The 24,852-nt window shown below is 55.7% G+C and overlaps 3 protein-coding genes, 1 long non-coding RNA gene and 1 other non-coding gene across 62 annotated transcripts in view, besides 18 other annotated features; 3 read left to right on the top strand and 2 right to left on the bottom strand.

Annotated features, from left to right (window-relative positions):
• UBTF (upstream binding transcription factor) overlaps window positions 1-6,784 on the top strand; it is a 16,265-nt gene extending 9,481 nt beyond the window's left edge. For all 4 annotated transcript variants that reach the window (NR_045058.2, NM_001076683.2, NM_001076684.3 and 1 more), the window contains 12 exons: window positions 77-218; window positions 493-534; window positions 672-785; window positions 877-1,032; window positions 1,351-1,506; window positions 1,590-1,700; window positions 2,091-2,179; window positions 2,283-2,472; window positions 3,913-3,960; window positions 4,054-4,125; window positions 4,227-4,370; window positions 4,457-6,784. Coding sequence is in view for 3 of the 4 variants with exons in the window: in NM_001076683.2 (NP_001070151.1) it covers window positions 77-218; window positions 493-534; window positions 672-785; window positions 877-1,032; window positions 1,351-1,506; window positions 1,590-1,700; window positions 2,091-2,179; window positions 2,283-2,472; window positions 3,913-3,960; window positions 4,054-4,125; window positions 4,227-4,370; window positions 4,457-4,582 (1,390 nt within the window). In the remaining variant the exon portion in view is untranslated. The remainder of the gene's footprint in view (window positions 1-76; window positions 219-492; window positions 535-671; window positions 786-876; window positions 1,033-1,350; window positions 1,507-1,589; window positions 1,701-2,090; window positions 2,180-2,282; window positions 2,473-3,912; window positions 3,961-4,053; window positions 4,126-4,226; window positions 4,371-4,456) is intronic.
• The window catches only part of ATXN7L3-AS1 (ATXN7L3 antisense RNA 1), a 24,868-nt gene extending 11,884 nt beyond the window's left edge, over window positions 1-12,984 (bottom strand). The window contains exon 1 of the long non-coding RNA NR_184071.1: window positions 12,894-12,984. This is a non-coding gene — a long non-coding RNA (ATXN7L3 antisense RNA 1). The remainder of the gene's footprint in view (window positions 1-12,893) is intronic.
• Window positions 698-1,419: an enhancer, noted in NCBI's record as "H3K27ac-H3K4me1 hESC enhancer chr17:42287773-42288494 (GRCh37/hg19 assembly coordinates)". NCBI's record gives its function as "activates a minimal SCP1, AML or CMV promoter by ChIP-STARR-seq in naive H9 embryonic stem cells {active_cell/tissue: H9 hESC(naive)}" and the evidence as "EXISTENCE:reporter gene assay evidence [ECO:0000049][PMID:30033119]".
• Window positions 698-1,456: a biological region, named in NCBI's record as "Sharpr-MPRA regulatory region 7848".
• Window positions 987-1,456: a silencer, noted in NCBI's record as "silent region_8580". NCBI's record gives its function as "represses an Ori minimal core promoter by ATAC-STARR-seq in GM12878 lymphoblastoid cells {active_cell/tissue: GM12878}" and the evidence as "EXISTENCE:reporter gene assay evidence [ECO:0000049][PMID:35858748]".
• Window positions 1,129-1,423: an enhancer, noted in NCBI's record as "tiled region #7848; K562 Activating DNase unmatched - State 5:Enh". NCBI's record gives its function as "activates a minimal TATA promoter and a strong SV40 promoter by Sharpr-MPRA in K562 cells {active_cell/tissue: K562}" and the evidence as "EXISTENCE:reporter gene assay evidence [ECO:0000049][PMID:27701403]".
• Window positions 1,129-1,423: a silencer, noted in NCBI's record as "tiled region #7848; HepG2 Repressive DNase unmatched - State 12:CtcfO". NCBI's record gives its function as "represses a minimal TATA promoter and a strong SV40 promoter by Sharpr-MPRA in HepG2 cells {active_cell/tissue: HepG2}" and the evidence as "EXISTENCE:reporter gene assay evidence [ECO:0000049][PMID:27701403]".
• Window positions 1,877-1,926: a silencer, noted in NCBI's record as "silent region_8579". NCBI's record gives its function as "represses an Ori minimal core promoter by ATAC-STARR-seq in GM12878 lymphoblastoid cells {active_cell/tissue: GM12878}" and the evidence as "EXISTENCE:reporter gene assay evidence [ECO:0000049][PMID:35858748]".
• Window positions 2,520-3,719: an enhancer, noted in NCBI's record as "P300/CBP strongly-dependent group 1 enhancer chr17:42285473-42286672 (GRCh37/hg19 assembly coordinates)". NCBI's record gives its function as "activates an origin of replication core promoter dependent on BRD2, BRD4, P300/CBP, MED14 and CDK7 cofactors, with strong dependence on P300/CBP, by STARR-seq in HCT116 cells {active_cell/tissue: HCT116}" and the evidence as "EXISTENCE:reporter gene assay evidence [ECO:0000049][PMID:35650434]".
• Window positions 3,985-4,053, top strand: MIR6782 (microRNA 6782). Its single transcript, NR_106840.1, has one exon. It is a non-coding gene; the product is annotated as a microRNA 6782 (primary transcript).
• Window positions 4,361-4,861: an enhancer, noted in NCBI's record as "H3K4me1 hESC enhancer chr17:42284331-42284831 (GRCh37/hg19 assembly coordinates)". NCBI's record gives its function as "activates a minimal SCP1, AML or CMV promoter by ChIP-STARR-seq in naive H9 embryonic stem cells {active_cell/tissue: H9 hESC(naive)}" and the evidence as "EXISTENCE:reporter gene assay evidence [ECO:0000049][PMID:30033119]".
• Window positions 10,561-11,098: an enhancer, noted in NCBI's record as "H3K27ac hESC enhancer chr17:42278094-42278631 (GRCh37/hg19 assembly coordinates)". NCBI's record gives its function as "activates a minimal SCP1, AML or CMV promoter by ChIP-STARR-seq in primed H9 embryonic stem cells {active_cell/tissue: H9 hESC(primed)}" and the evidence as "EXISTENCE:reporter gene assay evidence [ECO:0000049][PMID:30033119]".
• Window positions 11,099-11,637: an enhancer, noted in NCBI's record as "H3K27ac hESC enhancer chr17:42277555-42278093 (GRCh37/hg19 assembly coordinates)". NCBI's record gives its function as "activates a minimal SCP1, AML or CMV promoter by ChIP-STARR-seq in naive and primed H9 embryonic stem cells {active_cell/tissue: H9 hESC(naive and primed)}" and the evidence as "EXISTENCE:reporter gene assay evidence [ECO:0000049][PMID:30033119]".
• Window positions 11,099-12,091: a biological region, named in NCBI's record as "H3K27ac hESC enhancer GRCh37_chr17:42277555-42278093".
• Window positions 11,292-12,091: a silencer, noted in NCBI's record as "silent region_8578". NCBI's record gives its function as "represses an Ori minimal core promoter by ATAC-STARR-seq in GM12878 lymphoblastoid cells {active_cell/tissue: GM12878}" and the evidence as "EXISTENCE:reporter gene assay evidence [ECO:0000049][PMID:35858748]".
• ATXN7L3 (ataxin 7 like 3) lies at window positions 11,940-20,019 on the top strand. Of its 9 annotated transcripts, none has more exons than NM_001382309.1 (13): window positions 11,940-12,328; window positions 13,694-13,804; window positions 14,094-14,226; window positions 14,425-14,596; window positions 14,798-14,895; window positions 15,406-15,428; window positions 15,745-15,790; window positions 15,996-16,024; window positions 16,337-16,405; window positions 16,684-16,727; window positions 16,985-17,056; window positions 17,150-17,307; window positions 17,413-20,019. In NM_001382309.1, exons 2-13 carry the CDS (start codon window positions 13,754-13,756, stop codon window positions 17,559-17,561), a joined length of 1,044 nt encoding a protein of 347 aa, NP_001369238.1. In that variant the 5' UTR covers window positions 11,940-12,328; window positions 13,694-13,753; the 3' UTR covers window positions 17,562-20,019. The 9 variants fall into 9 exon arrangements, with proteins under 9 accessions (NP_001369238.1, NP_001369245.1, NP_001369237.1 ...); NM_001382316.1 differs by having other exon boundaries at window positions 15,939-16,024; NM_001382308.1 differs by having other exon boundaries at window positions 15,724-15,790.
• Window positions 12,192-12,801: a silencer, noted in NCBI's record as "silent region_8577". NCBI's record gives its function as "represses an Ori minimal core promoter by ATAC-STARR-seq in GM12878 lymphoblastoid cells {active_cell/tissue: GM12878}" and the evidence as "EXISTENCE:reporter gene assay evidence [ECO:0000049][PMID:35858748]".
• Window positions 12,192-12,918: a biological region, named in NCBI's record as "H3K27ac hESC enhancer GRCh37_chr17:42276274-42276829".
• Window positions 12,363-12,918: an enhancer, noted in NCBI's record as "H3K27ac hESC enhancer chr17:42276274-42276829 (GRCh37/hg19 assembly coordinates)". NCBI's record gives its function as "activates a minimal SCP1, AML or CMV promoter by ChIP-STARR-seq in primed H9 embryonic stem cells {active_cell/tissue: H9 hESC(primed)}" and the evidence as "EXISTENCE:reporter gene assay evidence [ECO:0000049][PMID:30033119]".
• Window positions 13,123-14,045: an enhancer, noted in NCBI's record as "H3K4me1 hESC enhancer chr17:42275147-42276069 (GRCh37/hg19 assembly coordinates)". NCBI's record gives its function as "activates a minimal SCP1, AML or CMV promoter by ChIP-STARR-seq in primed H9 embryonic stem cells {active_cell/tissue: H9 hESC(primed)}" and the evidence as "EXISTENCE:reporter gene assay evidence [ECO:0000049][PMID:30033119]".
• Window positions 13,269-13,563: an enhancer, noted in NCBI's record as "tiled region #8559; K562 Activating non-DNase unmatched - State 1:Tss". NCBI's record gives its function as "activates a minimal TATA promoter and a strong SV40 promoter by Sharpr-MPRA in K562 cells {active_cell/tissue: K562}" and the evidence as "EXISTENCE:reporter gene assay evidence [ECO:0000049][PMID:27701403]".
• Window positions 14,046-14,969: an enhancer, noted in NCBI's record as "H3K4me1 hESC enhancer chr17:42274223-42275146 (GRCh37/hg19 assembly coordinates)". NCBI's record gives its function as "activates a minimal SCP1, AML or CMV promoter by ChIP-STARR-seq in primed H9 embryonic stem cells {active_cell/tissue: H9 hESC(primed)}" and the evidence as "EXISTENCE:reporter gene assay evidence [ECO:0000049][PMID:30033119]".
• Window positions 19,895-24,852, bottom strand: TMUB2 (transmembrane and ubiquitin like domain containing 2). Of its 47 annotated transcripts, none has more exons than NM_001353185.2 (7): window positions 24,715-24,852; window positions 24,081-24,148; window positions 23,815-23,917; window positions 22,525-22,802; window positions 22,236-22,413; window positions 20,938-21,323; window positions 19,895-20,718 (listed from the first exon to the last, which is right to left on the bottom strand). In NM_001353185.2, the coding sequence occupies exons 3-6, from the start codon at window positions 23,820-23,822 to the stop codon at window positions 20,960-20,962; spliced, it is 828 nt and encodes a 275-aa protein (NP_001340114.1). In that variant the 5' UTR covers window positions 23,823-23,917; window positions 24,081-24,148; window positions 24,715-24,852; the 3' UTR covers window positions 19,895-20,718; window positions 20,938-20,959. The 47 variants fall into 47 exon arrangements, 42 of the variants coding, with proteins under 42 accessions (NP_001340114.1, XP_047292666.1, NP_001317164.1 ...); XM_047436710.1 differs by lacking the exon at window positions 24,715-24,852 and adding an exon at window positions 24,393-24,621 and having other exon boundaries at window positions 22,525-22,889; NR_148387.2 differs by having other exon boundaries at window positions 19,895-21,323; window positions 22,236-22,400.

Genomic DNA, 24,852 nt, shown 5'->3' with positions numbered 1-24,852 from the left:
GCTGGGCTCTGCAGGTGAGAAGGCCTGCTGCCCTGCTCGCTTACGGGCTGCACCTCTCTCCCCGCGGCTCTGATAGGAACAGCTACTCGCTGTACTGCGCAGAGCTCATGGCCAACATGAAGGACGTGCCCAGCACAGAGCGCATGGTGCTGTGCAGCCAGCAGTGGAAGCTGCTGTCCCAGAAGGAGAAGGACGCCTATCACAAGAAGTGTGATCAGGTGAGCTGTGGCAGGGGCCACCCTGCCTTGGGGTTTTGAAGCATGAGGTCTGATCCCATCTTGGGCCAGTCAGTCCCTGGTGGCGTGTGCCTTGGGTACCTGCCTCCAATACAGTGTGGGGCTGGGCTGGGCTTAGCAACTGAGCCCGTCCAGGCAGGGAGTCCAGCCCACACCCAGGCTCTGGAGGCCCGCTGAAGGTCACTGTCCTCCGAGTACTGCAGGGTCTGTGGTGACACTGTCTCCAGACTGATCCTGACTCCACTCACTTTCCCAGAAAAAGAAAGATTACGAGGTGGAGCTGCTCCGTTTCCTCGAGGTGAGTGTTCCTCCGGTGGGGCAGTGGGCAGAGAAGACTGGGACTTGGCAGGCAGAGCCCTGGTGAGCCCCTGGAGATAGGGCACCATGCAGTCTGGGTGCCAGGCATGCAGCCCCGTGCTCCTCTTTCCTGTCCAGAGCCTGCCTGAGGAGGAGCAGCAGCGGGTCTTGGGGGAAGAGAAGATGCTGAACATCAACAAGAAGCAGGCCACCAGCCCCGCCTCCAAGAAGCCAGCCCAGGAAGGGGGCAAGGTGGGCAGAGGGTGCGGCCGCGCAGGCGGGGGTGGGCAAGACTGGGCTCCCTGGCAGCACCCACGGACCCCGACCCTCTGCACCTGGACAGGGCGGCTCCGAGAAGCCCAAGCGGCCCGTGTCGGCCATGTTCATCTTCTCGGAGGAGAAACGGCGGCAGCTGCAGGAGGAGCGGCCTGAGCTCTCCGAGAGCGAGCTGACCCGCCTGCTGGCCCGAATGTGGAACGACCTGTCTGAGAAGAAGAAGGTCAGGCTGCCTGGCGGAGCGCTGTGCCCCCAGGGGGGCTGCCAGGGCCCCCTCTTCCCCTTGGCGGGCCGTGCCACCTCGCCCCTGGCCGCCTGAGCCACGCGGTGCCTGGGCTGGGACGTGGGGCCGGCGCCCAGCAGCCGGAAGGCGGGAAGCTGTCAGCTGAGCGCCGCAGACCAGGCGGGGGCGAGCCCCAGGCGGGAGACATCTGCACCAGCCCATGCTTCTGCCCGCCGGCGGGAGCGCCTGGGCTGCTGCGCGGGGAGCGCGCGCCCCCTGGGGGTGGGTGGAAGGCTGACGCCCGGGCCATCCCCGCAGGCCAAGTACAAGGCCCGAGAGGCGGCGCTCAAGGCTCAGTCGGAGAGGAAGCCCGGCGGGGAGCGCGAGGAACGGGGCAAGCTGCCCGAGTCCCCCAAAAGAGCTGAGGAGATCTGGCAACAGAGCGTTATCGGCGACTACCTGGCCCGCTTCAAGGTGACAGGGGTGGGAAAGGGTAGTACTGCAGCCTCTAGCCCCGGGTGACCCCTCCCACGGCTGATACCCTTATTGGTCCCCAGAATGACCGGGTGAAGGCCTTGAAAGCCATGGAAATGACCTGGAATAACATGGAAAAGAAGGAGAAACTGATGTGGATTAAGAAGGCAGCCGAAGACCAAAAGCGATATGAGGTAGGAATGGGGCTGGGGCCACCCCATTCATTGAAAGCTCGGGAACTCCCCTTTGGTTGGGCAGCTCTGAGCAAGAAGTCCCAGCCTTGGTCTGTGACTCTCAGCAAGTCTCAGCTTCCTTCTCTGAACCTCTGTCTCTCATCAGTAAGGTGGGGGTGACATTGCTAACCTCCAGGCTGACTCGGAGGATGCGAGCAGTTGTGAAAGCACTTGTAAACTGTGGTGCCTGCCTCAGACGTGAGCTGTTAGGAAGTTGCTCACTAGCTACCTGTTTCTCCTCCTCCCTGGCACAGAAAAAGACAGCCAGCTAAGGTGCTGATGGCATGAGGCAGAAGGCAGCAGTATTTTGGGGGTGGGACTGGGGGGTGAGCGTGACCTTTCTCCCTCCAGAGAGAGCTGAGTGAGATGCGGGCACCTCCAGCTGCTACAAATTCTTCCAAGAAGATGAAATTCCAGGGAGAACCCAAGAAGCCTCCCATGTGAGCCTGGGGGTTGGAGTCTGCCCTGGAGGTCGGGGAGGGTCAGGGCTGGATGGCTGCTTTGTTGGGGTCCTGACCCTCCTTCTACCAACCCACCTCCCAGGAACGGTTACCAGAAGTTCTCCCAGGAGCTGCTGTCCAATGGGGAGCTGAACCACCTGCCGCTGAAGGAGCGCATGGTGGAGATCGGCAGTCGCTGGCAGCGCATCTCCCAGAGCCAGAAGGAGCACTACAAAAAGCTGGCCGAGGAGCAGCAAAAGCAGTACAAGGTGCACCTGGACCTCTGGGTTAAGGTGAGAGGGCAAGGGACCCTTGGAAGGAACAGAGAGGCATCAGACTAAGCCAGCACCATCCTAGCCTGGCCCATCCACCCACTTGTGCTGGCTGGTCTCATTCATGATTTCATTCCATGCCCTCGCAATCCTTCAGGATAACGGTCACTATCACCCTTTTATTTTTATTTTTTTTTTTATTTTTTGAGACAGTCTTGCTCTCCTGCCCAGGCTGGAGTACAGTGGTGTAGTCTCGGCTCACTGCAACCTCCACCTCCCAGGTTCAAGCGATTCTCCTTCCACAGCCTCCAGAGTAGCTGGGGCTACAGACATGTACCACCACACCTGGCTAATTTTTGTATTTTTAGTAGAGATGGGCAGGCTGGTCTCGAACTCCTGACCTCATGTGATCCGCCCACCTCGGCCTCCCAAAGCACTGGGACTACAGGCTTGAGCCACCGTCCGCAGCCACTATCACCCTTTTAAAAATAAGGAAACCAAGGCTCAGAGAGGTTAAGTAACTTGCCCAAGGTCACACAGTAAGTAGAAGAATCCAAATCAGACTGCCTTTTCCTCCCCCATCTGGGACCACGGGACCTCTCCTAGACTCCTGGCCTTTGTGCTTCCCCTCTGTGCTTTGGTTGAGTAGTCAGATCTGTAAAGTGGAGAGAATCACCTGTGTCCTTCCCACTCACCAAGGCAGGTTGGCCAAGGACCCAGGAAGACTGTGGGGATTTGCTGTTTCAGGAGTTTGGTGAGCCCCACTGCCTCATCGATGGCTCAAGGGTTTGGTGTTGGGGTGTGGTTGATGATGCCAGGCTGACTCATCACGGGGGCACTTCTTTGGAGTGAGGAAGACTCTGATAGGAGCTTCCATTTGCGAAAAGCAACAGGGAAAATGTGAAAACCAATAGTCTTAGTGGTTTAGAGAAGGACTCTGGGTATCAGAAGCAGAAATACTAGGGTTTGGGCCAGCGCAGTGGCTCACGCCTGTAATCCTAGCACTTTGGGAGCCCAAGGTATGAAGGATCACTTGAGGCCAGGAGTTCAAGACCATCCTGGGCAACATAGTGAGATTGCTGTCTCTACAAAAAATTATAAGGTAGCATGGTGTGGTGGCACATGCCTGTAGTCCCAGCTACTCTGGAGGCTGAGTTGGAAGGATCACTTGAGCCTGGGAAGGTCAAGGCTGCAGTGAGCTGAGATTGTGCCACTGCACTCCAGCCTGGGTGACAGAGCAAGACCCTGTTTCAAAAAAAAAAAAAAAAAAAAAAAAAAAATTAGAGCTGTGTTCTCAGATCCCAGGGGCTCTCTGCAGAGACCCAAAATCTAGGGAGCCTGGGAGGGGTAAGATGGGGTGATGATATATAAATGCTCAGCCCACTGCCTAGCACTGGGCCAGCATGCTCAGTCAGCAGTAGTTGGCTATGTTCCAACCCTTGCCGCTTCTGTCTCCCCCAGAGCCTGTCTCCCCAGGACCGTGCAGCATATAAAGAGTACATCTCCAATGTGAGTCTGGGAGCAGAGCAGCAGTGGGGTAGGGGTGGGGGAATTCAGGGGTGTCGAACTCATGGCTGCCACCTTTGTGTCCCCATCCTGCAGAAACGTAAGAGCATGACCAAGCTGCGAGGCCCAAACCCCAAATCCAGCCGGACTACTCTGCAGTCCAAGTCGGTAAGGAGCCCCTCCCAGATGCAGGGGCGTGGGGCGGGGGGCACTGCCTGGAATGGTTGGGCAGAGACCAGAGACCACTGATGTGCCTCCATCCCTCCAAGGAGTCCGAGGAGGATGATGAAGAGGATGAGGATGACGAGGACGAGGATGAAGAAGAGGAAGATGATGAGAATGGGGACTCCTCTGAAGATGGCGGCGACTCCTCTGAGTCCAGCAGCGAGGACGAGAGCGAGGATGGGGATGAGGTGGGGCAGACAGGGCACAGTGGGAGGGGAGGGGAGTCCTGCCAGGAGGGCCACCTGGTGACTCCACATCCTTTCTCACCCCCCAGAATGAAGAGGATGACGAGGACGAAGACGACGACGAGGATGACGATGAGGATGAAGATAATGAGTCCGAGGGCAGCAGCTCCAGCTCCTCCTCCTCAGGGGACTCCTCAGACTCTGACTCCAACTGAGGCTCAGCCCCACCCCAGGGCAGCCAGGGAGAGCCCAGGAGCTCCCCTCCCCAACTGACCACCTTTGTTTCTCCCCCATGTTCTGTCCCTTGCCCCCCTGGCCTCCCCCACTTTCTTTCTTTCTTTAAAAAAAAAAAAAAATACGGTGGGGGTAGGGGGCTGGAGGAGCCCAGGCCAGGACTCTGCAGCCTCAGAGACATCAGCCCTTGGGGGTCCTCCTCCAGGGACAGCAACTATCAGACTAAGCCAGCACCGGACCAGCCTGGCCCACCCCACCCACTTCTGCACTTGCGGTTCCGGCATGGACAATGGACCGGAGAGTGGGGGTGGGGGGTCCCAAAGAGTTTGATGAGGCCCTCCACACCTGCGGCCCAATCCAAGGTGGGGTGGAAGCTTGGGGAAGACCCATTCCTTCCCAGAGGGGCCTGCCACCTGGACCCCTGCATTGGAACTGGAGGCAGGGAACATGGGGAGGAGGAGGGTCGGTGCCTTCAAGAAAACAGGCACTGCCCTGGTGGCCCTCTCCCCTGCCCCCTGCAGGAAGGAGCTGCCTGGACCCGTTCATGGGGGAGGGGGCAGAAGTGTTTTTTATATATGTGTATATATTTTTTTTTAAGCTCTGAGCTGTCAACGAGACGTTTCCTACCGATCTCGGCTGCCGTCTCTGTTGTCATTTCTGGGAGAGGGAGGGTTTAGGGGTAGATTTGGAACCTTTTAAAAATGGTCTTGATGTATGTGGAAGAGAGTATGTGTATGTGTGTTCCTGTACATAGCATGGGTGCAGCTGTGGATGTGTGCAAAAGAGTGTGAGTGTGTGTGTGTGTGTGTAAAGGGGTCTGTCCTAGAGCCCACATCAGTTTGTTGTGAATCTGGAAAAAGGGTCGGTGAGGGCCGGGAGATGTTGACCCTGGTGGGAGCAGGCTGAGGCTGCCCCGTTCTCCACATCCTCTGTTTTGCCCAGTCTCTGATTCCATTAGGGGGAGTGTGCTGAAGCCATTCTCGGATGCTTCCCAGACCAGGCTCCCTCTGCCAGAGTCACATGCATCCGAGCTGCTGGTCTCCATTGTCCAGCAGGAAGGCGGAAAGGCAGGCAAGATGGTGTGAAGCTTAAAGCTTGTATTTGATGGAAAAGGTCTCCCCTGTTCATCTGAGAGGCCAAGCCTGGCCACCCCAGGCTCAGAACCTGGGCTTCAAGAAATGTGCTGGGAGCTCCTAACTTACACATCCCTCCAGCCTTCCTTGAATCCTCCCACCACCCCCTATTTCCTTTAATTTCTCAGGTCTGCTCCCTCCTCCCCCAACCCCACAGCTGGGCAAGAAGTCTGCAAAAGCTGCATCTGCAGCTGTCTCTAACTCTTCCCAGCCATCTCCCGTATTTTTTGGTACCTTGATTCCTTGACTCTTAATAAGCCAAGCCACCTTATCTCTGTAGTTCTTATTTTTTTGTTGACTAAATTTGGGGGGTTCTTTTTTATGGTCATGTCACTGACCTATTAAATTGGGGCTTGGTGCTTTTCCACCTTCCCCCTCTGAATGAAAGCCAAGGAATGGGGGAAGAGCGGGAACTCTGCCGCGGAGGTGGAGCAAGAACGGTGAAGGGCCCTGGTCCCAGAGAGGCTGGTGGGTCCCTCTCCCAAAGGAAGGCAGACAGTCTCTGCTTTGCCTTGGACCTTGGTGCTGGGGGTGGGGAGGCCTGGGGGGGACACTCCCCACTCCCATTCCCCTTCCTTTGTCCTAATCCTGGAATTAAGTACAGGGGTTTATAGGTTCTATTTCTTCCCAAGAGCCCTGCAAAGAACCCCAGTTTCCTATTTGGATGCCCCTACACTGTTGTGTTTCAGTGGAATGTATTTTCATTTAAAAACAACTTTGAATGGGGCACTTTTTCTTTCCTGTTTTAAAAATTGAAAAATTCTTACAGTACAAACAGGACTGTCAGGGTGGGGGTGTTGGTGCTGTAAGAGGTCACTCTTGAGTGCATTTTGGCACTGGGATGGGATGGCTGGGGTGGGAAGACCCCCATCCCCACCCCCAACTTCTTTTCTAATATTTAAGGAGTGTTTTGTAGGATTCAACAACCACCACAACTTGAATTTGTATCATGGGAGGTGGGAGGGAGTGGCTTAGAGGTGTCTGCCTATGCTTAAAGCCAACTGTGGAAGTTTTGTTTTCCCTTTTTTGTATAATAAAGTGAAAAACAAAGGTTTGACTGCTGTCTGGTCACTGGAATCAATGAAGGTTCACAGGGGTGACCCAACAGGTTTGATCTATAAAAATGCTTGAAGCCAATTTGCCTTTTCTTCCTAGAACTATCTTCCTCTTCCCTAAAGATTCCATAGGCAACCTACCTTCACATTGTTCTGTGCTACTGTTCTTGCCCTTTTCTCAATTCCATTTGTTCACCTTGGGTTGTGAGACCACTAAAGATTCTGAGAAGTTGGAGAACAAATGCATTTTCACCCAAAGTACATGGTCTTGGGGAATTGGAGGTGATGAGCTACTAGGGTCAAGGGTTCGCCCTGGGCATGCAAGCCTTCCTAGTGTAGGGCTTATCGTGGGGAGTTGAGGGAGCACGCTCTCACTTTGAGCCTTCAGCTCCATCCCAGGTTAAAGGTTAAGGGTTAAGGATGACTTTCCTAGGACCATCTAGGCCTCTGATGGGAAGCAGGCTGGGCTGGGCTGAGATGACTCACTCTCTGAGATTAAGGGAAGACACCCTTTCCTGCGCAGGCCTTGGCTGGGTTCCTGGAACCTCAAAGGGCTGCAGACCCAGGTCCTGTCGGAGAACTCTCTCCCAGCCCTTGCCCCTATCCTATAGTGGCCAAACTGCTAAAAAGCTTGTTGTGCCTCTTGGCCTCCCACTTACCACCATCCTTTGAGGTTCCTTGCTAAGGTCACCAACATGTTCATTACATCTGGTGAACACTTGTCTTGTCTTTTGCCTTCTTGGTCTACTCTGTTGGTGTCAGCTCTTCCTCATTTTATCCCAGGTGTTCATGTCTCTCCCTTCAACCTCCCATTATCACGCATATGCAACCATTCCGAAAGGTGGTGCCGACAGAGACTGCTCTTCCAAGCTGCAGACCTGTGTAGACACCCTTGCATCCCCTGGGATATCTTGCAGACATCTCATACCTCAAGACCCGAAATGATTACCAAACACTTAGTCGTTCAACCTAGAAAGCAGAGTATTGGCCTTGACTCCTCTCTCCCTTTCACCTCGAGGTTCAATCACCTAGACCTCTCCATTCCACTTCCTAAAGCTGTCTCAAATCTGTCGACCCCTCCCACAGGGTGGCTCCCACAGCTGCCACTCCCATCCTATTTCAGGCCACCATCATTGCTCAACTTCTGCAAAGACCTCCTAAAGCTGGTCTTCCTGCTTCCACTCTCGCCCCCTACAGCCCATTCTTCACATGGCAGCCAAAATTATCTCAGAAATAAATCTGATTATTTCTGTACTGAAAATTTACCATGTCTTACCATGGCCCTACAAGGCTTGGCCCCCGCATTCCTTCTCTTATCTTCTCTCACCCTGCTCTTCCTAACCACTTACAACGATCCAACCAAGTGATCTCTTCTGTTCCTCAAACATGCCTACCTGCGGGGTCTTGGCACCTGTTCTCTCTGCCTAGAATGGCTATTCCTCCAACTCTACACATACCTGATTTTTTTTTTTCATTCTTTAAGCCTCAACTCACATGTCCTCTCACAGAGAAGCCTTTCCCAACCACCTGCTCTAGAGAGGCCTCCTCCATCTTCTTGTTTATGTATTTGTTTATTATCTATCTCCCCAAGTAGAAGACACCTTATCTGCTTGTTCATTACAGTAATCTCAGCACCTGAAACTGCCTGATATACATTTGACAATCAAGAAAGATTTGCTGAGTGGGTGAATAGGTCTGGCCCACAAGGCCCTTGGGGATCTGCTGCCCCCGTTAGCCCTCCCCCGACTCTAGCCACACTGACCATTCATGTCTCGAACATAACATGCTCTCTCCTAGGGCCTATACACATGGTGTTCTCTCTGCCTAGTTAATTCTGGTCTCCACTTAAAAGACCACTTCCTTCCCTGAACTCCTGAGAAAAAAGGTCTCCACACTATACGTTTCTTCAGCAGCCTGAATGCCTTCACACTCAGGCCTTATTTCCTTCACATCAGGCCTTGCTAGGCTGTAAGCTGCGCTAGGACAAGGTTTGTGTGTCTCTCTTGCTTGTTGCTGTAACCCCAGGGCCTCACCCAGAGTCAGGACCAGCTCAGGCCTTAGTGTTTATGAACTGGTGCTAACTGTGGAGACTGGGCACGTGCCCAAAGAGGTCACCACCACAGAGCAGCCCAGGCCAAGCACAGAATGAATAGTACAGTCTAGTTGTAAAGAAGTTTGGTATGAGGATGGCCATGGGTGGGGATATGAGGAAGGATTTAGGTAAACAGGGAGAAGCCAGGAGGATTTTCTGGCCATGGCGCAAATTCCTTAGGGCAGAATGTACTGGGCATATTTAGGTAAGAAACAGATCAGCATCACTGGAGTGAAGAATTCCTGAAAAGGAGGCGGGAGATAAGAGAAAACAAAGGTTGAGGCGATGTTGTTGAAGTTCCTGAAGACCTAGCTTACTTCTCTGTGCCAGACCTGAGTTCAACCACCTTTTGGGTCTCCATCAGCTGATCCCACAGTAACCTCAATATATCCCAGACTGAAGTCATCCTGTGTCCTCCCATGTCCTCCCCTGAGTTCCCCATCCTAGTAAAGGTGTTTTCAAGACCTCCCTCTCCTTTCCTCCACACACCTCAATCAGTAACAAAAACCTACTGCTTTTGCCAGGCCCAGTGGTTTATGCCTGTAATCCCAGCATTTGGGAGGCTGAGGCAGGCGGATCTCCTGAGGTCAGAAGTTCGAGACCAGCCTGGCCAACATGGTGCAACCCTGTCTGTACTAAAAATACAAAACTAAAATTAGCCGAGCGTGGTGGCGTGCGCCAGTAATCCCAGCTATTCAGGAGGCTGAGGCATGAGAATCACTTGAACCCGGGACGCAGAAGTTGCCGTGAGCTGAGATTGCACCTGAGTGACAGAGCAAAATGCTGTCTAAAAAAACAAAACAAAACAAAACAAAAAACCTACTGCTTCTAAATTATTCTCCAGACCATACTCCAGCATGATCCACTAAAAATATAAGTCTGGTGAATGATTCCCCTTGAGGACTCCTCACAGCTTACAGGCTAAAGCCCACAAACTTTTCAACACCTACTTTGCTTTGTCCTGTATTATCCAGCCTGCTCACCTCCTGCTGCTCTGCCACCCACTCCTCTGTTCCAGCTTGATCCATGCTTCTGAAGCTTCCAGTTGGGGATGTCCAATGCCTTCTTGGCCTACCTTCACCTGGTTCATCTCCCTCTATAAGAAGTTTTTCTTTTTCTTCTTTTTTGTTTTGTTTTGAGACGGAGTCTCGCTCAGTTGCCCAGGCTGGAGTGCAGTGGCGCAATCTCAGCTCACTGCAACCTCCGCCTCCCGGGTTCAAGCGATTCTCCTGCCCAAGCCTCCCGAGTAGCTGGATTACTACTATTGCCTAAGCCTCCCGAGTAGCTCCTGGGATTACAGGAGCCCGCCACCACGCCCAGCTAATTTTTGCATTTTTGCAGGCTGGTCTCGAACTCCTGGCCTCCCAAAGTGCTGGGATTACAGGCCTGGGCCACCGCACCCTGCCCAAGAAGCCTTTCTTGACCAACTCTCTTACATCATTTGATGTCTCCTTTTGTCTACCTCTGTTTTCTCTCTGTTGTTTTCCTCACACTGTTTTGCAATTATTATCCTACCTATCTATCCACAAGACAGTGAACTTCTTGAAGAAGCACAACTGTCTTATATCATCTTTTATCCCAGCACCTGGAGCACCGTGAGAATAACAGCTAAGATTTACCAAGCACTTACACAGAGCTAAGAGTTTCACATGCACTGACTTGTTAATCACTACAGCAACGCAAGGAGATAGGACTATCATTATGCCCACTGACAACAGAGGAAACTGAGGCACAGGAAACTCATTTGCTAGGCCCAACGATTTAAATTCAAATCAGACGCCTGATCTGAACTACTCTGGAATATCGCCTCAATAAATGTTTGCTGTTTCTCGGGAGAAATCGGTGAGAAAAAAATAAGTATTTGCTGAAAACTAAAAACCAAAGATGGCTCCAAGTATGTGATTACAGACTATCCTCCTTTTTAATCTTATCTCTTGAGGGGAGAGGGCTGTCACACAACCGTTCCAGGACACCACACACAGAGTAACCGAGATGAAAGCGCCAATCCAGCCATCCACCGCGGCTGGGAAAAGGCCTGTCCCTTCCTAAGGTAAAGAGGGACTGAGAGCGTGAGCACAGGGACACGCTGCACCCAGGGGAACAGCACTGGGTCGGGGGAAGGATCTGGCCAGTGACAAGGAGGCTGTCTGGAGGGGTGGGGGTCCAGCGTGGGTTCCGGAAGCAGGAAAGGCGAGCAGGTGTGGGATCTAAATTAGGACGAGGGGCGGGGAGGGCGCTCCGCGCAGAAGGGCGCAGCTCGGCCTCCGACCTCAGCAGCGGACCCTCATCTCGGCCGCTTGTTGGTCCGCAAGCCTGGAGTGGGCTGAGACCCGCCCAGAAACCGGGAGAACTGAGGCGCGGGCGAGCCCCTTAGGCTCCACAGGCTTTCCGCCCCGAGGTCCTAACTGCGCCCCACTTCAAGTCTGGCCTCTTCACAGAAGTGGCTGCACGCCTCGGGGTAAAGGGGGGAGCGGAGGGTGGCGGGGGAGAGAGCGGGGAGCCCCGAGGGAAGGGCGGGGGAGCCTGGGCCGGAAGGCGTCCCAGGCTCGGCTGGCAGCCGGCGCTCTCTTTCGACGCCACCCGCTGCCCCCGCCCCCGAGCCGGCCGGGACGGCAAAACGTCTCCGCCCCCAGCGCACCGCGCACCTCACCTTGAACGCCGCCCCACCCACCCCCATCTTATTGGTCCTCCCGGGCCGAGGCCTCCCTGCGATTGGTCGGGGAGGTCCGCGAAGGCCCCGCCCATCTCTCCGCCCCCGTCCCCGTCCGCCGGTACTTTGGACGGCGGCGTGGCGCCCCTCCTCCCCTCCCGGTCCCCGCCCCCTGGAGCAAATGCTGCCGAGCTGCGGCCGCGGGGCAGATGCACGCGCTCGGGCCCTTCTAGCAGGCGCGAGCAGTCGCTGGGCGCGCGAAAGCGAAAGAAGGAAGAGGAAGGGAGGGGGAGGGCGGGGTGTTGGGGAGGGGCGGGAGGAGGAAGAGGAGGAGGTTGGAGCGCGCTCGCGCTTGGCCTCGCGCCCGCGCAGAGGGAGGGGGAGAGGGGCGCGCGCGCGCACGCTCGCGTTCACGCTCGCTCCATCCATCCATCCTCCGGTCGCGGCACACGCGCGCGCGCTCCGGGCTCGCGCCGCACCCCCCGCCCGGGAGAGGCGGGCTGGAGTGGGGGGCGGGGGGAGGGGCGCGCGGACGGCGCGCGGACTGCGCGCGGGCGGGGTGAGGTGAGGAGGAGGAGGCGGCGACGGGACAAGAAGGGAGGGGAAGGGGCCATGGCCGCCCGGTGAGGCGGCCAGGCGGGGGGGCGGCCCGACCCCCCGGCCCCGGGCCCTGGGCCCCGGGGAGAGGCGAGGACGGACCGACGGACATGGGGCTCCGGAGCAGCCGCCGCCGTCGCCGCCGCCGGAGGACGCGGCCCTGAGAGGCTGCCGGGCCCCGGCGCGGCCCCCCGGGCGGGGTGAGTACGGGACGGAGACGGGGACGGGGACGGGGGAGGGGCCTGTGGGGGGCGGGGGGCGGGGCCCAAGGCGGGGCTTGGGCCCCCTCCCCCCAGGTCTGGGTCAGCGCCCCTTCCCCTCCCCCCGGGCCGACGCGGAAACGCCCGGCTTCCCCCAGCTTCCCGGCCGGGCCGGGGCCCCTGGCTCTCCCCCGTCTGGGTCCCCCTTGGGCGGGGCAGGGCCGGCCGGGGAGGGGGCGCGGGGCCTTTGTTAGGGAGCCAGGCCCCAGCCCCCGGGACAATAGAGACACCCTCCCGGACTCCTCTCCCCGGCCGGCCGGGGCTGCTGGCGGGCGGGGAAGGAGAGGGGCTGGGACGCGTCCCACTCTCTGGGGGTCGGTCTGTCCCGGCCCGGCGCCGGCCCCGGCGGCTCGGCTGTCCTCCCCCCAGTCGGTATGATGCAGCAGCAGTGCCGCAGGGACGGGGGAAGAGCCGAGGCCCGGCCTCCTACCCTTCCCAGTGCCCCCGGCTCATTCGTCAGTCCCCACCCCACTCTAGGCCGGCAGCTCCTGAAACTCGTACCCACCGTTCCGAGGGGCCCTGGGTTGTGGGTTCTGTGTCTGAATCCTTGGGTGGGGGTTCCTGGACTTTGGGGCTCTTGGAGAGACTTCCGGGCTGGTCCTGAGGGAGGGCGGGTGGTTATTTAAAGGAAGAACAGGTAAGGGGAGTGCCCGCTCCTGGCGTGCCACCCTACCAGGCTCTTCCCCCCCACCCCCCGCCGTTCCTGCTCATGGTGGCTAGAAATGTCCCTTAGCTCTAGGCTCCTGTGGGCTCTGCTCCCCTCGTGGAGTGGCAGGCTGATTTCAAGGGAAGACAGAGTGGGGTGAAGGTTGTAGGGTCCTAGGGCCATTTCTACTTCTGGTAGCAGTACCCCCCCAAGTGGACATCCTGGCTGAAAGCAGAGGTGACTCTGAGGAGAGTCTTTAGGGAAGGCGGGGGGTGTATTTAGGAGTCTGTGCAGTTCTTTGCCACACCCTGTGGGTTTGCTTTGAGGCCTTGGAGTTCCTTCTCCTCCCCCTGCTGCATTGCACCATGGGTATCAAAGAGGGGTTTGAGTTTTGGGGACCTAGGGTGAGCTGCTGCCTCCTATAGACCCAGACTCTGATTGGCAGTGGAGTCCAGGGCCTGAGCTCAGGCCTGGGAAAGACTAGGCCCCCTTTAGGTTTCAGGCCTTGAAGGACCATCCAGACTTAGGGAGCCTGGGCCTTGGGGAGGGAGAGACCCTGATGCCAGGACTGAGCTTTGGGCAGCGAGGTGGGGAGGGAAGGTGGCCGCATTCAGAGGTGCCTTGGACTCACAACAACACCCCCACCCCCGTGTGTGCAGCCGTGTTGCCGCCCGCTGTGCTATGAGCAGTCAGAGCGCCGTCTCCACAAGAGTTTACAAATGAAAATGGAGGAAATGTCTTTGTCTGGCCTGGATAACAGCAAACTAGAGGTGAGGGCTCCCCCACGTGTGCCTCCAGTTCTTTCTCTTGATGTCTCTACGTCGCTGTATCTGGCATCCACACCAAAGAGGAATTTGGGTAGTCAGCCTTGTTCCTTAAAGGGAATAGCCAGCTGAAAAAGCCAAGGATCCAGGAAGAAGAAAGAACACGAAGTCAAGATGGGGAAAATGGCAAAGAAAGCATGATTTTTGGCTGGGGCCAGTTGGCAGCAGATTTGGTTGGTGAGAGTCCAGGGGGCTGTGACTCTTGTGACCGTAGATGTTCTCCCCTGGGGCCCAGGCCATCGCTCAGGAGATATACGCGGACCTGGTCGAGGATTCTTGTTTGGGATTCTGCTTTGAGGTACACCGGGCTGTCAAGTGTGGCTACTTCTTCTTGGACGACACGGACCCTGATAGCATGAAGGATTTTGGTGAGCTTCAGGGTGAAGGAGCAGCAGTCCAGCCCTTCCCTGGGACTGCCTGGAGTTTCCTTCTCTGGAAACTGTGCTAGATGTAGCACCTGGAGCTCCTGTGAGCCGGGGGAGGGATTGAAGAGGCCGTGGGACCCCAGGTGGGAACAAGAGGAGAGGGTCCTGCCCACCCTGATCGCCAGCCTCTCCTGTCCCCAGAGATCGTGGACCAGCCGGGCTTGGACATCTTTGGACAGGTTTTCAACCAGTGGAAGAGCAAGGAGTGTGTTTGCCCCAATTGCAGTCGCAGCATTGCCGCCTCCCGCTTTGCTCCCCATCTGGAGAAGTGCCTGGGAATGGGTCGGAACAGCAGCCGAATCGCCAACCGCCGGTGAGGGAACCAGAGCTGCCCGTTCTCTGCAGCCTGTGCCATGGTGTAGTCCCCCGGGGGCATTGGGAAGGTACAGAGGGTGGGTTTTACTTGGCCCCAGATGCTCCACCTGCTTCTGAAGTTGGGGGCAGAGCGGGGTGACCACCTTGACCCCTTTCTCTTCCTTCCCCTTGGCCCCTTTCTCTTCCCTCCCCTTGGCAGGATTGCCAATAGCAACAATATGAATAAGTCTGAGAGTGACCAAGAAGATAATGATGACATCAATGACAACGACTGGTCCTATGGCTCGGAGAAGAAAGGTGCTTGGGGATCTGGGGAAACCCGGGGGGCATTGGGATGAGGTGGGAAGCAGGAATTGGGTATACAGTGGTCACAAATTGTTGCCTTGAATGATGAAGAGAGAGTGTAGTTACGCGATTTCCTTTTCCTTTTTTTTTTTTTTTTTTTTTTGAGATGGATTCTCGCTCTGTGGCCCAGGCTGGGGTGCAGTGGTGAGATCTCGGCTCACTGCAACCTCCGTCTCCCGGGTTCAAGCGATTCTCCTGTGTCAGCCTCCTGAGTAGCTGGGATTACAGTCGCGTGCTACCATGCCCAGCTAATTTTTGTATTTTTAGTAGAGATGGGGTTTCACCATATTGGCCAGGATGGTCTCGATCTTCTGACCTCGTGATCTGCCCGCCTGGGCCTCCCAAAGTGCTGGGATTACAGGCATGAGCCACCGTGCCCAGCCTGTTGTATGGTTTTCTTGAGATGCTTTTAGATTGAGAACTTAACGGAAACCCTGCTCTTTATGCTTTTGTTTCCCACAGCCAAGAAGAGAAAGTCAGACAAGGTGAGAGCCGGGCCAGGCATTGGGGAAATAATGGGTAAAGGACAGATACCCTCCCCTTTGGGCAGGGAGTCCTCGAGTGTCATGACTCAAGGCTGAGGTCATTGGGGGCTTGAGGGTGTCTTTGGTGGGTCCGGGGCGGGGGAGTGTGGGTGGGGAAGGGGGGTGGGGGAGGGCACATGGGTAGACAGGCCTCCTACTGGGGAGGAAGAGTAGGAATTTGAGGATGCTGCTTTGTCAAATCTTTTTTCCTTCCCTGGGTTCTCGGCTCCCCCTTTTCGTTACCCTTTCCCCAAAGCTATGGTATCTCCCATTCCAGAACCCCAATTCCCCTCGAAGATCCAAGTCATTAAAACACAAAAATGGTAAGTGGAGCCGGAGCAATGGGAATGCTTCTAGCTGTGTCTTCTGGGACTCATTGCCGGGGGGTGGAGGTGGGGCCCGGGGATAGGGGAATTGAGGGAGGGCCTGTGATCCTTCTGTCACCCCCACTTCCTCTCTGGTTATTTTCAGGGTTCTCTGTCTGTACCTCTGCATCAAACACCCTTCCCCTTCTTTTTTCTTCTTCAGGGGAACTTAGCAATTCGGATCCTTTTAAGGTGAGTATGGGCCGCCCCTCATGCTTGCTCTCATTGTCCTGGTTGTGAGGTGGTGGGGATTTGGACAAGTAGGGATCAGAATGCTGACAGCCAGAGGCACTGATGAGCTATTTGGATCTTACATATTTATGTTCTTTCTGAGTCCCACCCCTTATCCATTGGCAGATGGGATGAGAGAAATCACTTGGAAAACGGCAGGGTCGTTCTAAAGCCTCACTTAGAAAGGGACCAGAGGGACTGATTCTCACTTCCACCCCTGTCCTTCTCTTTTCTCTGCCCCATCTCTAACCTGTACCTCTGGTTGTCCTGCAGTATAACAATTCAACTGGGATCAGCTATGAGACCCTGGGGCCGGAGGAGCTTCGCAGCCTGCTAACCACGGTGAGGGAGGACCAGCAAGAGAGAAGGTCCCTGGGAGTGGGCTGGAGCCATAGGCAGTGGTCAAGGCCTGGGAGGAAGCTGGTGACCTAGCAGTCAGGGCCGTATCGTTCTCTCTGTCTGGAATTAGGTTTCCCGGCCCATAGTGTCCTGGGACCATCTGCTCTGGACACCTTTGGGCCATCTCTGCTTGTGCTATCTAGCATTTATACAGAAAGAAACATCTAACATCTAGAGTAGGTTCCTTCCATCCCTCCTTTCAGCTTATATTCCTCTTCCAGCAATGTGGGGTGATTTCTGAACACACCAAGAAGATGTGCACAAGGTGAGCACAGAACCTAGAAAGGGGGCCAGGCGCTTCCTGCACACTCACCATGGGCATGGGTTGGGAGTACCCCTGGACTTGAGCAATGGGGCTCCTGCCCTTCCCCTTCCCTCCTCTAATGATGAGGCCTTTGGCCACAATCTGGGGATGAATCTGCATTCACCCCTTCCCTGTCTGTGCCTGTGGCTCCTGCCTTGCCGAGGGGAGGGGCTTTACCTGAGTTCCTCAGAACCCTCCCTGCCTTGCCTCACCACCAGGTCCCTGCGCTGCCCACAGCACACAGATGAGCAGAGGCGAACCGTACGGATTTATTTTCTCGGGCCCTCGGCGTAAGTGGCCCTACAGGAAGGGTGGGGGGTTGTGACCAGTTAGGGCGATGATCACTATCTCTAAAGCCCTTCTTTGGCTCATCCCCTTTCCAGTGTCCTTCCAGAGGTCGAGAGCTCCCTGGATAATGACAGCTTTGACATGACTGACAGCCAGGCCCTGATCAGCCGGCTTCAGTGGGACGGCTCCTCTGACCTCTCACCCTCTGATTCAGGCTCCTCCAAGACGAGTGAAAATCAGGGATGGGGTCTAGGTACGTGATGCAGTTGGGCCCTAGGGGCTCTGTGCCCAAAGCCATGGGGGTGCCACCTCTCCTGCCATAACCATACTCTCATCCCTTGTGTCTCTTTCTCTACAGGTACCAACAGCTCTGAGTCACGGAAAACCAAGAAAAAGAAATCCCATCTGAGCCTGGTAGGGACTGCCTCCGGCCTAGGTTCCAACAAGAAGAAGAAGCCAAAGCCACCGGCACCCCCGACGCCCAGCATCTATGATGACATCAACTGACTTGGGTGCAAGGGATAGCCTTTGGCTGAGCAGAGCCCTCTCTCCTGACCCCCACCCAGGTGGCATAGCCTGGCAAATGGACGGCTGCTGGGGGTTGGGGCTTGGGAAGCTTGGTGGGCCAGGCAGGCAGAGGATCCGATTATGCGCCCCTGGGGGGTGTCAAAGTCCTCTGCAATGGAGCACGACTCCTCGGCGTGCAGGACTCAGACCTGGACATATTATGCCTTGGACATAAGTTTGGTGGGGAGGCGGTTTTCCTATTTATTCTGTGAGTTACTGGATGTCCAGCTAGGCCAGGGGCCTGACCTGGGCACTGTGCCAGGGCACTGCCTGCCCCCCACCCCAGGAACTGGACTAAGCCCTGCTGAGGGGCAATGTGGCGACCCGGGAGGCTGTGGGTTGGAAGCTGAGCCTGGAGGGGGCCTGCCTCGGCCGCCCTCAGCAATGTGAATGGGTCCGGTGCTTGGAGCTGAGGGGCAAGGCTGGGCATGTCCTGTCTGTGTGCAGAATCTTATCAAATGCCCCCAGTCCCAGGGGTAGGCAGGCACAGAGTGCTGTCTGCTGAGGTGGGCGTCCAGAACTGCCGCCACCTTCCCTGCCCCTCACAGGGGCAGCCCTTTCCCCTCAGTCCCCATGGGCCTCCTTGGCAGCAGGAGCTGTCCTTTTGTTGGGTGCCAGGAAAGGGCCTCCAGCCTCTACAGCTTCAAGGAATGGGAAAGGGAGGGTAGGAAGAGGGAGAAGTGTCAGAATTCCTCCCCCTGCCTCTCCTCCCTGACCCAGGGCTGGTGAGGAGTGGGGCCCCAAGGTGAGAGGGAACGGTGCTGCTTTATTTGAAATGTTTTCTTACCTCATTCCCTGCCCCAGGAAGGGACCCAGCCTCACCCTCCTGGGGTGGCCCCGTGTTCCTCCTGCCCACCCTGCCCCACTGCCCTACCGGGGCAGCCCAGGTTCCCAACTGCTGCTTCCACCCCCTTCACCTTGACTGGCTTCAGTTCCTCTCAGCGCTCCTGCCTCCAAAGCGTGCCCTGTTTCCCTTCCTTAGCGCTTTTAAGTTATTTATTCTGTACTTGTGGTTTGGGGCTCTGAGGAAAATCCTAATCTTGTGCCTCTCCCCCTTTGCTAGGAGTTGGGTGGGAAGAGAGGGTGGCCTCTGTGCCCCAGGTTGTCAGTGGAGGGGAAGGGGTGTCACTGCCCCTCTGTGGGACTGTCATGCCAGTGTGCCCACCTGCCTGGTCTACATCCTAAAGAGATGTACCGTCCCCCCTCCATGCGGGCACCACCACTCCCAGGAGCCAAGCTGGAGGACCGCGACCTGGGCTGGGAGCAGAGCTGACTGACATGGGTGGAGGTGACCCTGAGCCAAGTTCTCTGGCACTTGCTGGACATGTCCCCTACCCTCTTCCCAAGAGGAGCCATCCCACATTTGGGTAGTTAGTACCCAGGACTGGTTGGACTGATCGGGTTAGGGACCCTAGAGGGTTAAGGGAACAACAGAGATGGGGCTGCAATGCCCTGTCTGGAACTCCGCTCTCCCGCTGGGGTGGTTCTGATTGTGGCTCATGCCTGGTTGCAAATTGGTTTTTAACCCACAAATTGTGATTATTTTTTAAAAAGCCAAACAGATTTTGGCAGGAGTTAGAATAAATCCCGGGGCCTGGGCTTCTCTATTCTTGGCCCTCCGTAGTCTCCCTCCGAGAGGAGGCCAGAGGGAGAGGAGGATCTCAGCAGGCCTCTAGCCGCTTCCAGATGCAGTCTGGGGAGTGGGCTGAAGGTGAAGGGAGGAAGGCTGTGGGCCACTCTCCCTTCTGAGAGGCAGCTGCAGCTCAGGCCCTAATACACTCTTTGCCCTGTGGCCTCTCCCTTTTCCCCCCTTCTGGTTGGAGGAGGGAGAAGTGGGAAGTAGCTTGGGAACTGGTTTGTCCACATAAACTTCCCCATTGTTCCTTGGCCCGCCCTCAGGGCAGAGCCCCCTGCCCAGGCTGGGTAAGAGATGGGCTTGGTCCAGCAGGGACCCTGAGGGAACAAACCCTTTTCCTTCTGGGGAGAGAGTGCCCCCCCTACCATGTAGTTGAACAGGGGCTAGGAGCTCCCCACTCCCCTCCCTCTAACAGCAGGCTGTGTGGGTTTCAATTCCCATCCTTCCCACCCCGGCTAGGTGTCGTCCACCCTGTATCCTGTGTCTGAGTGTGTGTGGGGGGGTTCTGTACTAATTTCCATGGCCGGTGGCTTTTCCTTCCATGCATCACTCCCCCCCGCATGCCCAGGGGCCACCCGCCTGGCATTACCGCATGCTGGGGTCATTGGGGGAGGGGGGTGGGGCTCACGCTGTCCTGTGGTCTTGAGATTTTTATTTTTGCATATGTAATCCATTCTGTACAGGTAGCTAACTTTGTAAACGCTGTGTATTCCCTCTGCCCCCATGGCTGCTGGTGTAAATAAACTGCATCTCCCGTTGGTAGCCCCGGCCTACCTACTCTCATTACCATTTTCCTGGGGGCAGCGCAAAGCCATTCTCTGTCACAGAAAGAGGCTGCAGGACCACAAAATGGAACTTTATTCAGTCACAGACACTGACCCTCCAATAGCCCCAGAAGCAAGAGCCTAGGGCCCAGCAATCCATACCCAGTCCTTGGAGTTGGGCAGGGTAGGACGCTGGCCAAGGGCCAGTGCTGTCTCTTGCTTACAGCCTGAGGACTACGGGAGCAGCAGCTGTGGCCTGGCCGCTCCCAATGCTGGGGGCTTGGCTTGGTGCCCCATCCCCTTCCTGACTGAGCTCTATGAAGGACTCTTAAAAAAATAAAATAAAATGCAAGCAAAGTGCTTTGAAAGAAGGGAGGACACCCTATTCCTGCTAAGGGGTAGAGGAAGAAGGTGAAGGCGGCTAGGTGCCCATAAGAGAAGGCTGGCACAATCTTCATTCCCGCCAGTGTGATTTCAGTCTCAAAAGATGAGTATTTGGCTGAGAAATGGAAGGATACTCCAGGCTCCCTACGGAGTTGTGCTGGGGCCATGCTGAGCTGCCCTTGCAGGCAGCCCTGGGTGCTGGGGGCAGACATGCAGGACACTGGGAAGAGTCAGAACCACAGGTGGGAGGGAATCTCAGAGCCCAGGCTCCCCACTGAGCTTGGCCAGCAGCTTTGAACTCCTTCAGAGGACCCTAAAAGTGAAGGAAGATGACATCCTCATTTCTACCTGAGTTGTGCTCGCACGGGAGGGACATCTGTACTCCTGTGGATGAGAAGGGGAGGCCGCATACTTGCCTCCTGTGTCCTATGGAGGAGATTTCCATCACATCCTTTCCACCCCTCCCTCCCCGGCCCTTGGGCCCAGCTCTGGCCAGGAAAAGTGGGGAGGCCGTAAAGGAGAAAGACCATGCCTTTCATTTTCTTCCTATGTCCTTATCGTCCATACATCCCAAATACTAGGAAGCTGAAGAAGACGGTGACTCCCACCAGGGAGACAGTGGCAGGTGCTGTGAAGAATTGGCGGTAATTGATTCGGAAGTACCAGACCACACCCAACAGCACCACAAAGACAGGCACCATGAGGCTGCCCACATTGACACCAAGGCTGGGTGGCTCAGTGGCCGAGGGGGCCAAGGAGGCTGAGGGGCCTGGAACAGCTGACCCTGGGGGTGAGCGGTGGCAGTGAATCACACAGTTGTCGGTAATGTTCAGAGAACGCAGTGTGCGGGCTGGGTCTTGTAGCAGGCGGCCCTGGTAGATCAGTTTCATCTGGCTTTCTTGTCCAGGGAAGTATTTGCTGTAAGGATGAAAGACATGGAAGAAAAGATAGAGGGTGAGGAATGAGAAGGCAAACAGGCCTGGACCAACAAAGCAGGGGAGTGGGGAAAAACTGGAGGGTGGATTTTTTTTTCCCTCATCTTTATCCTTTTTTTTTTTTTTTTTTTTTTGAGACGGAGTCTCACTCTGTTGCCAGGCTGGAGTGCAGTGGCGCGATCTCGGCTCACTGCAACCTCTGCCTCCCGGGTTCAAGCAATTCTCCTGCCTCACCCTCCCGAGTAGCTGGGACTACAGGAGTGCGCCACCATGCCCAGCTAATTTTTGTATTTTTTTTTTTAGTAGAGACAGGGTTTCACCATGCTGGCCAGGATGGTCTTGATATCTTGACCTTGTGATCTGCCCGCCTTGGCCTCCCAAAGTGCTGGGATTACAGGCGTGAGCCACCGCGACAGGCCCCCCTCATCTTTATCCTTAACTAATGAGGGGTGTATTTGTTTGTTTTGTTTTTTTAGATGGAGTCTCACTCTGTCGCCCAGGCTGGAGTGCAGTGGCGCAATCTCGGCTCACTGCAACCTCCACCTCCTGGGTTCAAGCGATTCTCCTGCCTCAGCCTCCTGAGTAGCTGGGATTGCAGGCGTGCGCCACCACGCCCGGCTGATTTTTGTATGTTTAGTAGAGATGGGGTTTCACCATGTTGGTCAGGCTGGTCTCGAACTCCTAACCTCGTGATGCACCCGCCTCGGCCTCCCAAAGTCCCGGGAGCCACTGCACCCGGCCTGAAGGGTGTATTTCTAAGAAAGTATCTACCTGCCCTTGGTAGGGGCTGGATCTTACACTTTGCTGCAGCTCCCATGTCTGCACCAGCCTCCTTAGAGGCAACCAAGGGCTGGGGGATGAGCACAAGCAGCTTCCCACTTCCCAGGCCACTCACCTCTTCAGGGCACCCACGGTATCCTCTGGCCTAGCCACAGCCAGCTCCTCGGTATCATTGAGGAATTTGAGCCGCACAGTGATGAGGCCAGGGCTGGGAGGGAGGCAGGTGCTATCCTCAGATCTCAGGGGGGCCTCTGGACTGCTGCTGCCTGCACCTGCTTGTCTTTTGGGCAGGCCTTGGATGTCAAGGAGATGCTCAAGGCTGGGCTCAACACCACCCCCAGCTCCAGCCTCCCCAGTGGAGTCTCCCCGACCTTCACCCGCCTCTTCAGCCTTCTCATCATTACCCTCTGATGGATGGGGGAGTTCAGTTGGCTCGGGGTTGCCTTGGCCTGCCACCAGGTGGTCCACATGCCCCAGGTGGAGGACGGATGTGTCGCCTGCTGACACAATAGCGCCCAGGAGCTGGTTGCTACCGCTGTCTGCTACGTAGGTAGAGAGCCAAGCTAGGACCAAGGCTAGAATCAGCACCACCACACCTGCCACCACCATCACCTCATTACCCACACCCTCAATGAGGGTGACATCAGAGAGCTCCATGGCCTGGCTGCTGGCAGGGTCCACGCTGCAGGAACAAAGGGGGACAGCATCAGCAGAGCCTGAGGGGTTGCAACCAGGTCTCTAGTTTGTTTAGGTTCTAACTGACCCAGCCCTGAAAAAAAAAAAAAAGGAGTTCAGTGTTGTGTAGAAGGGGGCACAAACCTTCCTAATTCCGGCACCCCAACCTAAACCTAAAGACCTACCCTACCCTTTGCCTCTATTGTGAAACTCTTGCTTTCACGTTCTGTGACCTTCCTCTCTCAAACTCCAACTTCCCAATGAGTGTGGATCAGCAGGAAAAGCCCACAGCCTTGCTGCTGCTGCTACTGTTGTTGCTTTTTTGGTGAATGAGGAAAAATCTTTGCTGAGGCCTGAGTTTCTCTAGGATTTCTATCGCTTGGTCAAGCAAATATGCCTCCTAAGCAGCCTCCAAAGTGGCTTCAGAGAGACCCAAAAGCCTGGAATATTTTACTGTGGGGCCCCCCTGGAAGCACTGTTTAGCCATCCCTGCCAGATTGTCTCATTTGAGCCTATTTCATTCCTGGTCACAGATCCAGGCTGCCAGATGTCAAGAGCCAAAGAAAACTGACCTACCATCAAAAGCAGAGTCAGACAAATCTAAAACGATAACTCTGTAGGGACCGCGGGCAGATACTATGCAGCAGACATTATGTGCCGCCTCTGAAACTTCTGGCAAGCCCTGGGGAGCAACTTGGGACAGACACCAGAAGCACCACCTTCCTGGGTCACCATGGGCCCACTCCTGCAATGACCACTCCCCAAGTGGAGTGATTTGAAAAAGATTCCATAACAGCTCTCACAATCCATATCTCAGTCTCTCTTCTTTCACTGTGAAGGTTCTGCTGCTGCAGTTTCTTAGAAAGGCAGGAAGGGTCCCTGCTTGCTCCTTGGAGTACCTACTATTTCCCTTGGAGAATCTGCTGCTTTCACAGCTGTCCCTGGGCAAATCCAGTCTGGTGATTACCATTATCAGACTATTCTCACAGCACCTATAAAACTTCATTATACTTATGTACCTGTCCATCTTTCTATTAGACTCCTGGTAGACAAGGATCGTATGTATTTCTCTTGGTACTGAAGTGTCCAATATAATGCCCCAGTAGTTGCTCAAAGAATTATCTGTGGAACACATCAACATCCTTATTTAATATACCGGCCCTGGAGTTAGAAAAACAACTAATTATAACCCCAGTCTTGCGTCTTACTAGCTATAACACCTCAGACAACTTTCTCAGAGCCTCAGCTTTCTCATCAGTAAAATGGGGTTAAAAACAGTACCTACCTCATGAGGTTGTTTTGAAGATGACGTGAAATCATCGAAGCAAAATACTTGGCACAGTGCCTGGCACACTGCAAATTGCAATTGCTTAATAACGGTAGTAATTATTTATCACAACCACAACTAACCCCTGATGGTAAGAAGGTTAATGTTATTAACCATGATTTACAGGAAAAGAAACTGCGGCAAAGAAAGACGAAAACGATTGGCACAGACACAGGGAACTCTCGTGGGGAGGGGCCCGGCAGGACCCCAGGTGTCCGGCCTCAGGGGTCTTTGCTCTGTCCCTCAGCCTGTGATCTACCCTGTCCGTACCGTGACCGCACGGTGAGGAGGGGTCCCGCACCCTTTTTCTGAGGCGAAGGTTCCGCTTTTGGATGGTCCTATTCCCTCGGCGTTGGACTGGGGTCCATGGGCCCACCCGAACCGAAGGGCTGCCTGGCCCCAGCCTCCGTGATAAGACCAGTTGTCCCGGCCAGTGAGGAGTAGGGTCGGCTAAGGGGGTCACAAACCGTCCACACCCCTCAAACTTCGGGGCGGGGCTGGGGAACTGGGGGCGGGGCTTCAGGACGCGAGGAGTCATGGGAAATTAAAGGGGGATTGGACCGGCACTGTGCCTGGATGGGGAAGTCCTCACCTGAAAAGACCAGACTAAATGTTTTGACCTCGCCAGGACGGCCCCTGGACTCGTCTTTCCGTAGGGGTCGGGAAAAGGGCTGGCAATCTGCGATTCTGTTCAGGGTCCGGTCTCTTCCGGCTTCTCCCGGAAGCTGTT

This window comes from Homo sapiens, chromosome 17 (assembly GCF_000001405.40).
Source record: "Homo sapiens chromosome 17, GRCh38.p14 Primary Assembly".
In the NCBI taxonomy this organism is placed as follows: domain Eukaryota; kingdom Metazoa; phylum Chordata; class Mammalia; order Primates; family Hominidae; genus Homo; species Homo sapiens.
This window is presented reverse-complemented; position numbering and strand designations above follow the sequence as displayed.

Bases quoted from the DNA above. Each gene is read 5' to 3' on its own strand.
- ATXN7L3 (NM_001382316.1), top strand. From the start codon at position 13,754: ATGAAAATGGAGGAAATGTCTTTGTCTGGCCTGGATAACAGCAAACTA. The intron at 15,791-15,938 runs GTAAGTGGAGCC...GGTTATTTTCAG, and splicing joins GTCATTAAAACACAAAAATG to GGTTCTCTGTCTGTACCTCT. The intron at 17,308-17,412 runs GTACGTGATGCA...CTTTCTCTACAG, and splicing joins AAATCAGGGATGGGGTCTAG to GTACCAACAGCTCTGAGTCA.
- TMUB2 (NM_001353177.2), bottom strand. From the start codon at position 24,115: ATGATTTCACGTCATCTTCAAAACAACCTCATGAG. The intron at 22,803-24,080 runs GTAGGTACTGTT...TTGTTCCTGCAG, and splicing joins CTTCAAAACAACCTCATGAG to CGTGGACCCTGCCAGCAGCC. The intron at 21,324-22,235 runs GTGAGTGGCCTG...TCATCCTTACAG, and splicing joins ACCGTGGGTGCCCTGAAGAG to CAAATACTTCCCTGGACAAG.